This window comes from Homo sapiens, chromosome 1, assembly GCF_000001405.40.
Source record: "Homo sapiens chromosome 1, GRCh38.p14 Primary Assembly".
In the NCBI taxonomy this organism is placed as follows: Eukaryota; Metazoa; Chordata; class Mammalia; order Primates; family Hominidae; genus Homo; species Homo sapiens.
Window position 1 is genome coordinate 86,866,421 of NC_000001.11, and position 12,116 is coordinate 86,878,536.

Genomic DNA, 12,116 nt, shown 5'->3' on the forward strand with positions numbered 1-12,116 from the left:
ACAGGTAGTTGTCACGGGCTGGCAGGAGGGCGGGGGTGGTGGTGGGCACAGAAAGATAAAATTAAGTGTTTAATGGGCGTAGAGTTTCAGTTTCACAAGATGAAAAAGTTATAGAGAACTGTTACAGAACAATGTGAAAATACTTAATACTGGACTGTAGTACACTTAAAATTGGTTAAGATTGTACATTTAATATTTTTTACCACAATTTAAAAAAAGAGGGCAAAAGATCTGAACAGACATCTCACCAAAGACACACAGATGGCAAATAAACAAATGAAAAGATATTCAAATCATGTATCATTAGGGAATTGCAAATTAAAATAACAATGAAATATCATCACATACTTATTAGAACAACTAAAATCCAAAACAGTAACAATACCTAAAGCTGGTGAGGATGTGGAGCAATAGGACCTCTTAATCACTGCTAGGGCAAATGCAACATGATGTCATCACTTTGGAAGACAGTTTTGCAGTTTCTTACAAAGTTAAACAATCTTAACTGTATGACCCAGCAATTGCACTCAGTTATTTACCTCAATGAGTTGAAAACTTATGTGTACACAGAAATTACACAAAAATATTTATATTAGCTTTACTCAAAATTGCCCCAAATTGGAAGCAATCAAGATGTCCTTCCACAGGTGAATGACAAAACTGGTAATAACGAGTAATATTCAGTAATAAGAAGCCAATCTGAAAAGGCTACATATTGTATGGTTCCAAATATATAACATTCTGGAAAAGGCAAAATTATAGAGATAATAAAAAAATCAGTGGTGGCCAGGCGCAGTGGCTCACACCTGTAATATTACCCAGCACTTTGGGAGGCTGGGGCAGGTGGATCACTTGAGGTCAGGAGTTTGAGACCAGCCTGACCAATGTGGCGAAACCCCATCTCTACTAAAAATACAAAAAAACTAGCTGGGCATGGTGGCGTGCTCCTGTAATAAAGCTGCTCAGGAAGCTGAGACATGAGAATTGCTTGAACCCAGGAGGCAGAGGTTGCAGTGAACCAAGATGGTGCCACTGCACTCCAGCCTGGGCAACAGAGCAAGACTCCGTCTCAACAACAACAACAACAACAACAACAACAACAACAACAAATCAGTGGTTGCCAGGGGGTGGGGAAGAGGGAGAGAAATGACCTGAACGTGTGAGGATTGGAGATTTCTTAGGGCAGTGAAACTATTCTGTATGATACTGTAATGGTAGATATGTAATATTATGCATTTGGCAAAACTCCTATAATTATACAACACAAAGAATGAATGCTAATGCGAACTATTAAATTTAATTAATATATCAATATTGATTCATCAATTGTAACAAATGTACCACACCAATGCAAGATGTTACAACAGGAAAACTGAGGGTGGGGGTGGGGGCCAGGGAGTATATGGGAATACTCTTTCCTTTGCATTCAAATTTTCATAAACCTAAAAGTGCTCTAAAAAAATAAAGTCTATTAATTTAAAAAAATTATTTTTCAGTGAAATTAAAAATTTAAATTGATACATAATATTTGCACATGTTTATGGGGGAAACCATTTATTCAAATATTTACTTTAATTATAAAATAAAGAAATTAAGGCTGGAAAAAAGAGATCTCCACTACAATCACCTTACCTTGATTTGCAGTCCTCTGAACAGTTTGGGTTTATCACTCCTAACAAAAGCTTATAAAAAAAGAAAAAAAGATTCAGTAGTTCACTTCCAAATCCAAGCTAGCTAAAAAGATTAATATAAAAGTGGAAATAAACAACAAATCAAACATTATATCCTATATGAAAAAACTAAGAAAATTTAAACATCTGTGGATAAATGGAGAGACATACCATATTCTCCAATATTTTAAGACACTAATTGTTTCAAATTAATAGAAATCCCAAATTCCAATAGGATTTTAAGGTTTGACAAAAGTGATAGACAGTACAGCTCAATTTTAAGAGTAATGTGTAAGAATAGTCAGGGCAGTTTTTAAAAAGATATGGAGAGAGAATTTGTTCCATTGTTATTAATATACTATGTGATACTGATACCAGAACAGATAAAAGAATAGAATAGGAAATTAAAAGAGATAAAAATGTCTGTAAGAATTTTTTAATGTGCTAAAGCTATCAAATCAGAGAGAGGGAGAGGGGAAGGGGAGAGGGAAAAAGAGATATATGTTTGTCTGGCAGTGTGTATGAGTTACTCAATAAACACTTCTGAGAAAGGTGCCAAACTGTTTATAGAAAAAAAAAATCACAGAACTAATGAGTCATGATAACTGCTAAAAAGGAGAGGTTAAAAATACTACCAAAGCCTACAGCACAGAGAACTTACATAAATATGGAACACAAAAATCTACTCCTAAGCATGACCCAAAAGGAAATGTTTTATAGATACGCCTATGTAAAAATGGAAACATCAGGACAGCAAAACACCACCATAAGCAAATTAAAAATAAAAATGATAAACTGAAGAAAATTATCTCTAACATCTAATATATAAAAGGGCTCTTACAAATAATTAAGAAAAAACACTATGTATAGCAATATGTACAAATATACAAATGGTCAATAAACATTTGAAATAAATGTTCAACTTCACATATAATTGAAGAAATGCCATAACAATGAGGTACTCACATTCGGAATTACAAAGATTACAAAGAATACTAAAGGTTAGAGAGGGAACAGGGACAGGGATTTTGCTGGGAATGAGCTATGGGAGGAATATAAATAGGCACATCCTTCCTGAAGGGTATTTAGCAAAATCAACCAAGAGTCTTAAAATGTACGTACTTTGTAAACCTGCAAGTACACTTCTAGGACTTTATTCTGAGGAAATAACTTATAAAAAGTCTCGCTAAACCAAGTCTGAAAATTTGGAAATAATCTAAATGTGTAAAACGATATTGGTTAAACAAATTAATATGTACCACATAATCATTGAAAAATTATGATCTATATTTAGTGACAAAGAAAACTTTTATGTGTAAAAAGCAAGGATTTTTCCTTTCTTTTTCAATTTGTTTCCTACTGTTGTTTTAAAAAGGCGAATATTTTCCCGTGCAAATGAAAAAGCTCTAAACAAATCTTAAAATATATAAAGTGGTTCAAAAAATGTTTACTGTTATTATTTTAATAGAGGCCTATACATGGGGCATTTATTTGGGAAAGTTTTAAATGAATATTTTCCCGTTTTGGTTGTTATCAATCTATACTTTACCAATTTTCAATAATGATCATGCCTAATTAATTCAAATTAAAAGGTGTGTAATACATCTTTCTTTCTTCTTTCCTTCCTTCCTTCCTTCTTTCTTTCTTTTCTTTTCTTTCTTTCTTTCTTTCTTTTTTTGAGACGGGGTCTCACTCGGCTGAGCGCGGGGTCAGCCTCGGTCTTGCCCAGGCTGGAGTGCAGTGGCGCAATCTCGGCTCACTGCAACCTCTGCTTCCCGGGTTCAAGTGATTCTCCTGCCTCAGCCTCCCAAGCAGCAGTGACTACAGACACGTGCCACCACACCTGGCTAATTTTTTTATTTTTAGTAGAGATGGGGTTTCACCATGTTAGCCAGGATGGTCTCGATCTCCTGACCTTGTGATCCGCCTGCCTTGGCCTCCCAAAGTGCTGGGATTATAGGCGTGAGCCACTGTAATACATTTTTCTAAAATAAAAACAATTGTTTCATTTAGATACTTGATCGTTAATACCAGTTATTGATCATTTGCATAATTCTCATCTTAGATTTTATAGTGACACACATGCTTTTGAGAACTTATTTTTACTTTAGAATTAGATAGCAATAGCACTATAGATTTGCTTCATTGTGAACGTCTTCACACATTTGACTCAAATATCTCACCTAATCCTCCCCTACAAAATTTATTTCAAAATGAAACCAATTATGCTATTCTGGCTTATTAAAACATCATTTCTATTAACTTTATCCTTTAGGATTTTTCCAGATATTCTGCAAACTCCTGAATCCCCAAACAAAAATGATCTTATGATTTTTATTGCCTTTTATGCTGTTCCTCTGGCAAATGCTATTTGCATGTCTGTGCAAAATACTATGTAACACGCAGTAACTGTGTCTACATGCCTTCTCTACTACATACGAAACCTTCTGGTAAAAGGACTATTTTTATACATATATTTTTGGATCCATAACAGAGCTTAGCATACTTAATAAATAGTTCACTTATTAAAATATTTTTTTTTTTTGAGACGGAGTCTTGCTCTGTCGCCCAGGCTGGAGTGCAGTGGCGCGATCTCGGCGCACTGCAAGCTCCGCCTTCCTGGGTTCACGCCATTCTCCTGCCTCAGCCTACCCAGCAGCTGGGACTACAGGCACCCGCCACCACGCACAGCTAATTTTTTTTTATTTTTAGTAGAGACGGGGTTTCACCGCGTTAGCCAGGATGGTCTCAATCTCCTGACCTCGTGATCTGCCCACCTCGGCCTCCCAAAGTGCTGGGATTACAGGCGTGAGCCACTGTGCCCGGCCAGTAAAAAGATTTTTTTTTTTTAACAGACTGCAATAAGTGAACAAATTTAAAAGGAATACTAAGATGAGTCACTAATTACTATTTTTCATCAGTTCTTTCCTTTTCTCTCTCTGCTAAACGTAGATCCATAGCTTCCTAATTTTGAATATCTGTTAAATACCTTGTAGCAGCAAATCACATTTTACAGGCAGTAAATAAATCTTTTAACAAATATTTGAGTACTCATTATATACACATGGCATTCGATAAGCTACATGAGAATATGAGGAAACTGAGTTCTTTAATGTCAATACATCTACAGTCTGCTTAAACAGATCTGCAACAAATAAAAAGATAAGGTGATAATAAAAACAATGTCGTTAATTTAACAATTGACAATAAGTACTCTAAGTTCAGAGCAAGGAGATCTTAGTATGTTAGAGTCATAAAGAAACAAGAAACAAAATAAGAACTGAGAATTTATGTTCACTTGAACATAAAACAGTCCTTCTTTTGACATAATACTAAAGGATTCAAAAGAATTTTCTCTTACTACTTCAAAATACTCCTAAAATTTGATATTTCTTAATAGTCAAAATAGCCCCAAAGTCAACTTCAAATGTTTTACTGAAGAAAGTAAACTGAAAAAGTATAATAAAAATGTATGCTAAGAAAGGCAACTGTGCTGGTGGATCTTCAGCCAGTCAGGAAAAACTACAGTTCCTCAAGTTCAAAGATTTTGGCCTCTATTTTATTACTAAACCTACCACTGTATTTAATTTCTCAATGTAAACATACATCATGGCTCATTTATGAATGAGAAAAAAACTCAAGATGTTTTACAAATTATAAGCAAAATAACGATGGTGAATTTTAAAATTGTATAAAAAGATTGGTATTTGAATACATAATATTATTTGTTGTATTCTTCTGACTTGATCACATTGTAATCACCTCATGTGCTCTATAGCTGCATGAGTCATTAAATATGCAAATAGCAAATAAAGTCCAAGAAAAGAAATAATGGAGCTTATGGCAACCTTAAAGAGACTTTTTTTTTTCTTTTAAAAGATTCTGGAGGAGGGCAGCTGGAATATTCTATTAATAACTTTCGGTATACAAGAAAAAATAGTCATCACCACCATTTACCATCTGGGTTCAGTGAACTCTGTTTATTTTTGTATTTTTAAATGATTTTATGAATAATTTTACAAAAGAAAGGGATAGTGAAAAACAAATCTATTCAAAAGTTTAGTGAGTATTAACCACATAAACGCAAATATTTATTCCGTATTTTCCTGATTTTGAAGGTAAATATAACCAAAATGAGCAATGTGCTTTGAATGCAACTAACTGCTCATTGACTATCATGCATGAAATGGGAACACAGCCAAGCTGTAAATACTGATTCCAGATTCCAAATACATTTCTAATAGGCTGTAACTTTTTACTCTGGCTCTTTTTTTGTTTTGTTTTGTTTTTTATTTGAGGCATAGTTTCGCTCTTGTTGCCCAGGCTGGAATGCAATTGCACGATCTTGGCTCACCGCAACCTCCGCCTCTCGGGTTCAGGCGATTCTCCTGCCTCAGCCTCCCGAGCAGCTGGGATTACAGGCATGCGCCACAACGCCCAGCTAATGTTTTTTTTTTTTTTTGTATTTTTAGTAAAGACGAGGTTTCTCCATGTTGGTCAGGCTGGTGTCGAATTCCCAACCTCAGGTGATCCACCCGCCTCGGCCTTCCAAAGTGCTGGGATTATAGCCGTGAGCCACGAATGCGGGCAGATCACCTGAGGTCGAGTTACAGACCAGCCTGGCCAACATGGTGGAAACCCCGTCTCAATACAAAAATTAGCCAGGCACGGGCCCGGCGTGGTAGCTCACGCCTGTAATCCCAGCACTTTGGGAGGCCGAGGTGGGAGGATCACGAGGTCAGGAGATTGAGACCATCCTGGCTAACACGGTGAAACCCCGTCTCTACTAAAAATACAAAAAATTAGCTGGCGTGGTGGCAGGCGCCTGTAGCGCGGCTACTCCGGAGGCTGAGGCAGGAGAATGGCGTGAACCTGGGAGGCGGAGCTTGCAGTGAGCCAAAATCACTGCAAGCGCCACTGCACTCCAGCCTGGGCGACAGTGTGACTCCGTCTAAAATAAATAAATAAATAAATAAATAAATAAATAAATAAATAAATAAATAAAATAAAAAATAAATTATCCAGGCACGGTGGTGCATGCCTGTATTCCCAGCTACTTGGGAGACTAAGGTAGGAGGATTGTTTGAACCTGGGAGGCAGAGGTTGCAGTGAGCCGAGATCCCGCCACTGCACTCCAGCCTGGACAACACAGCGAGACTCCGTCTCAAAGAAACAAAACAAAACAAACAATACTATTATTTCCTTTCTGACCTTGGTAATATATTGTTTACTCACTCTTGATTTCTGAGAAAATTCATTCAGGATATTGTCAAATGAGGTTTCAGAGTCTGAGCTTCTGCTCATATGATCAATTTTACCATCATTAGAGTCTAGAATAGGACTTTCTAATAGAACTTTCTGAGATAAAGGAAATATTCTTCATCTGTTCTTTTTGGTATGGTGGTTACTGACCATCTGAAATGTAGCTAGTGTGTCTAAGGAACTGAATGTTTAGTTTTATATAATTTTAAAAAATTAGGCTGGGCACGGTGGCTCATGCCTATAATTCCAGCACTTTGGGAGGCTGAGGCAGGCAGATCACCTGAGGTCGAGAGTTCGAGACCAGCCTGACCACCATGGAGAAACCCCATCTCTACAAAAAATACAAAAAATTAGCTGGGCGTGGTGGTGCATGCCTGTAATCCCAGCTACTTGGGAGGCTGAGGTAGGAAAATCACTTGAACCCAGAAGGTGGAAGTTGTGGTGAGCCAAGATTGCGCTGTCGCACTCCAGCCTGAACAACAGGAGTGAAACTCCGTCTCAAAAAAAAAAAAAAAAAAATTATTTAAAACAGCCATGTTTGGCTAGTTGGTCACTCCAGGTCTAAAGTGTTATTTTATCTCTTTGCATTCATTTTCTGATCCATTTAATCATTAGAAGCGTTTCTCTCAATTTTCTTCTCTACCATTATGGGCAGAAAGCAAAAAATTCCAAATTCTCAAATGTGTTCAATGAAAGCTTAAAAAAAAAAAGACTAAAGAAATGGTGTCATACTATGTGGGTCACACAATAAAAAAATCAAATAATGATTCCCTGCTAATTTTTTTTTTTTGTATATTTAGTAGAGACGGGGTTTCACCATGCTAGTCAGGCTGGTCTCGAACGCCTGACCTCGTGATCTGCCTGCCTCGGCCTCCCAAAGTGGTGGGAATACAGGCGTAAGCCACCTTGCCCAGCCACCAATTTGGAGATTTCTAAAGAAAATCCAATCACTCTAATTTCCAGAAAATGTTCCTATGTCAATTTAATTATTTGTCACTAATAAAGGCAATTTTGTAAATAACACTCAGAGTGATCAAACAAACAGAAGTGATTTAAAGACAGATTAAATGTTTCAGTTTTTCCCTTAGGACTTAGCAAGTCATTCATGCTGCCCCCTAGAAGAGCTAAGTTTTGCTATACACACTGCTCAGAATGTCAAGGGATTTAGAGCTAACTTTAAGGAGTATTAAAAAGGAGTATTTTTTAAAAAAGTATTAAGGAGTATTAAAAAAAAAACCCCAAAACCCAAACCCACATCTGTCCTCCTCCTTGTTCTAGAAAGAGGGTATATGTGGAAATGGGGGGATAACAAAGAAGTATATGTTCTGAGGTTAAAGAAAAATGTTTGAATTATGTTATTTTCAAAATCACAAACACGTGAAAATATAAATGAAAAAAGAGACAAAATATACTCGGACAAAATATAATCCTGTTGATTAGAAATAAGTATATTTGAATTAGAACATACTCTAAATAACAATGTCATACCATATCCAGAAACATCAATATAGAGAATGGCAACAATAGACAACCTAATTCTCAACTGTGTTCAACAAAAGCTATTCAGTAATCAAAAAAGTATTTCTAAAACAGAAAATTGGCTGGGCATGGTGGCTCATGCCTGTAATGCCAGCACTCTGGGAGGCCAAGATGGGCAGATCACCCGAGGTCAGGAGTTCCAGACCAGCATGGCCAACATGGTGAAACTCCATCTCTACCAAAATACACACACAAAAAAGTTAGCTGGGTGTGGTGGCGCATGCCTGTAATCCCAGCTACTTGGGAGGCTGAGGCAGGAGAATTGCTGGAACCTGGGAGGTGGAGGTTGCAGTGAGCCGAGATCACGCCACTGCACTCCAGCCTGGGAGACAAAGTGAGACTCCGTCTCGAAAAAAAAAAAACAAAAAAGAAAAGAAAATTTACTATTATATACATCTGGACTGCAAAATTGTGTCATCCCATTAGGACAATTTAGAAGCACTTGAAAACAGAGAAGGGCAACTTAAGAGAATGTAGGAAGACTGGAGGTACAAAATGAAGACAAGACAAACTAAAAAATTATGACTTTTAGGAAAAGATGAGAACTTTTTATAAACGTTTGAATCCTGTAAATTCATCAAGGGCATATAACAAATGGAAACACAGGCTTTTCACCAGATTCTCACTTGTCAAAAGTGGGGGCATCCCTTGAATTAGATAAATTTAATAAATCAGTGCATTCATTCCATAAATATTTCAATTCCTCTTAATACCAGGTGCAATGTTACATAGATTTTGGGTATATCAATGATTAAAAAACAAAAAACAGAACACAAACTTTGAGTTCTAAAGACTTCTAGTTTGATAGAGGCAAAAGACCAGTACGCCAAATATAATCTTATGTAGGAGGTGTTATGGAACATAAAGAGAAAAGTAAAACACTGTTTAAACACCACCCAAAAACAATGCTGGAGCTAAATTTTGAATGAACTGGAATTTGCCACAAGAATTAGGAAGCAGCACAAGTTAGCAAGAATATTCAGTGTGTGCAAACACACAGAAGTCAGAGCTCAGAGAGTTGCACATAGTTTTGCATAAACTAGAGATGTGAATCTAGAAGAGAAACCATGTCATGGCGGGTCTTGTATTTGATTTTGTATGTGACAGAGAACTATAAAGGATTTTAAGCAAGAGAGAGACACAATCAGATTTGTTTTATGAGAAGGGTCTCTTTTGGTTGTTGTGTTGAAGAGGTAATGAAGTAAGAAAAGGGAAAAGAGGCAGACTAGATAACAAGTACCTAATCCTTTTGGATAAAGATGTTAAGGTCCTGATTGAAAATACAGAAAAGAGAAAGGGACTATGAAGGTTATTACTGAGGGAGAAGAGACACAACATGGTGACTAACTGGATATAACGTGTGAAAGATCAATCATGATTCTTGTGTTTCATGCTTATGCCTTTGCCTGATCATAATGCCATTTATAGAAACAGGGAAGATGGTATACTTTTAACAGAGAAGAGGATTAATACAGTTTTTGGACATGCTGTGTTTAAAGCCTTTGTATTAAAAATGTGGACCACAGTCTGTAGGACTGTAAGAAATATAGACTCTCAGGACCCATCCCAAATTTATAGAATTGTACTCTGTATTTTAAGAAGATCTCCAGGTGATTCTTATATGTATATTGGTTTAAGGTACCTATGAAATCATCTAAATGGAAATGTCCCATGGAAGTAAAAAAATATAAGAAATACAATTTCTAACAAAACTTTATGTAAAGATATAGATTGGTAGTCATCAGATAAGTACTGTAATTGAAACTGAGGGAGTGGGACACCATTCGGTAGAGTCAGAAGAGAAGAAAATCTCAAGATAATAGACCCTGACTAACAACAACGTTTGAAGTGCAGGCAGTAGAAGAGATGCCAGAACAGAAGAGAAAGAAATGTTAGAAGTAGCAGAAAGCTAGGAGATAATGAAGTCACACAAGTGAAGACAGTTTCAAAGGCTAGGGCCAAGTAAGATTTAGTAGTCAGGAGGTAAAACAGTAGAAAGAGAAGCCCTATTAGGGTACTTTGAAAAATGGCTAGAGGTCAATATTCAGAATATTGCATATGAGAAAGGCTGCAGTTATAATACATATTGACTTGAATGTTTTTTAAAGATGGCCAATATATGAGTATATAAATGTTTGATGGTTCATAATTGAAACTTATTATTAACCAAGGAGCAAATATAAGATACAATAACAATACTTACCATTTAACATCTTCATTACTGGAATAGTGATTGTCATACAGTAAGCATCAATAAATATTTATAGAATTATGGAATGATTTACTCTGTTTTTGGTGGTGCCAGACACATACTAAGTGACTTACATGTTATCTCATTAATCCTCAGAACAGCCCTATAAGGTAGATATTTAACCTATTATACCTCATCTGTAACCCATTTTATAAACAAGAAAATCAATGAAGATAATGCTAATGGATCAGTATTCTTTCCAACAAAACTCCAATGAAGCACTGTAACCTTAAGCATGTCTACCAATCAATCATAGTTGGCATGAGCAGCAGGTTGAGTATCCTTAACTGAAATGCATGGGACCATAAATGTTTTATTTTTTGGATTTGGAAATACTTGCATACATAGAATGACATATCTTGGGGATAGGACCCAAATATAAACCTGAAATTCACTTATGTTTCATATATACCTTATACATAAAGCCTGAAGGTAATTTTATGCAGTATTTTTAAAGTTTCAGACTTCGGAGCATTCTAGATTTAAGATTTTTGAATTATGAGGATGCTCAATTTGTACTACATTATTTCAAAACTCCTTTTTGCGTCTGAACGTTTATGATTCTAATACAGAGGTTGCCAAACGGAGGCCCACGGGCCAAATCTGTCCTGCTTGCTTTTTTTAATAAAGTTCTACAGGAACACAGTGACGTGCATTCGTTTAAGAACTGTCTATGGCTGCTTCCATGCTATAATAGCAGAGTTCGATAGTTATGACAGAGCCCATGGTGCCTATAAAGCTGAAAACTTTTACTATCTAGTCCTTTATAGAAAGTTTGCCAAGCCCATACAAAATTAGGGACAAACCACATTACTTTCTGAGAGACAGCCACATTCTTAACACAGAAGACTCAAGCGAGAGAAAAAAAACATGATTACTTAGGATGTCACAAGTGAAGTGACAGAATACTAGACAAAATCTACTATGAGAAATTATTATAGACAGCCTTCTATATTTAAACAACTAGAATAAGGAAAAAAAGGTATTTTAGAAGGCATATTTGGAATTGACTAAGAAATATGATCTGAGATTTTTTTTTACACAACTGTGAGTGGTTTAATATAGGTAAAACATACCAAAATTTAAATCCTTCCTCCTGAAATAATTTAACATTAATTTACTCTTGTTTCATGAAATGGTTAATTTAAATTAAGTGACCTTAAAAACTGACAATGTATTATAAGCTAGAGTATAATGTAGGTTATCATGATAATCCCAGAAGCTACTTGATGTTGAAGATAAAGAATATGAAGCAGTGGCTGGGTGTGGTGGCTCATGCCTGTAATCCCAGCATTGGGAGGCCAAGGCAGGCGGATCACCTGATGTCAGGAGTTCGAGACCAGCCTGGCCAACATGGCAAAACCCCGCCTCTACTAAAAATAAAAATAAATTAG

The 12,116-nt window shown here is 36.2% G+C and overlaps 1 protein-coding gene across 4 annotated transcripts in view; it reads right to left on the reverse strand.

The window, feature by feature from the left end:
* Positions 1-12,116, reverse strand: part of SELENOF (selenoprotein F) — a 52,133-nt gene that overhangs the window by 3,976 nt on the left and 36,041 nt on the right. For 3 of the 4 annotated variants that reach the window (NR_144513.1, NR_144512.1, NM_004261.5), the window contains exon 4: positions 1,633-1,682. The exons of the other annotated variant lie outside the window; for it this stretch is intronic. Coding sequence is in view for 1 of the 3 variants with exons in the window: in NM_004261.5 (NP_004252.2) it covers positions 1,633-1,682 (50 nt within the window). In the remaining 2 variants the exon portion in view is untranslated. The remainder of the gene's footprint in view (positions 1-1,632; positions 1,683-12,116) is intronic. 4 annotated transcript variants of the gene reach the window in all.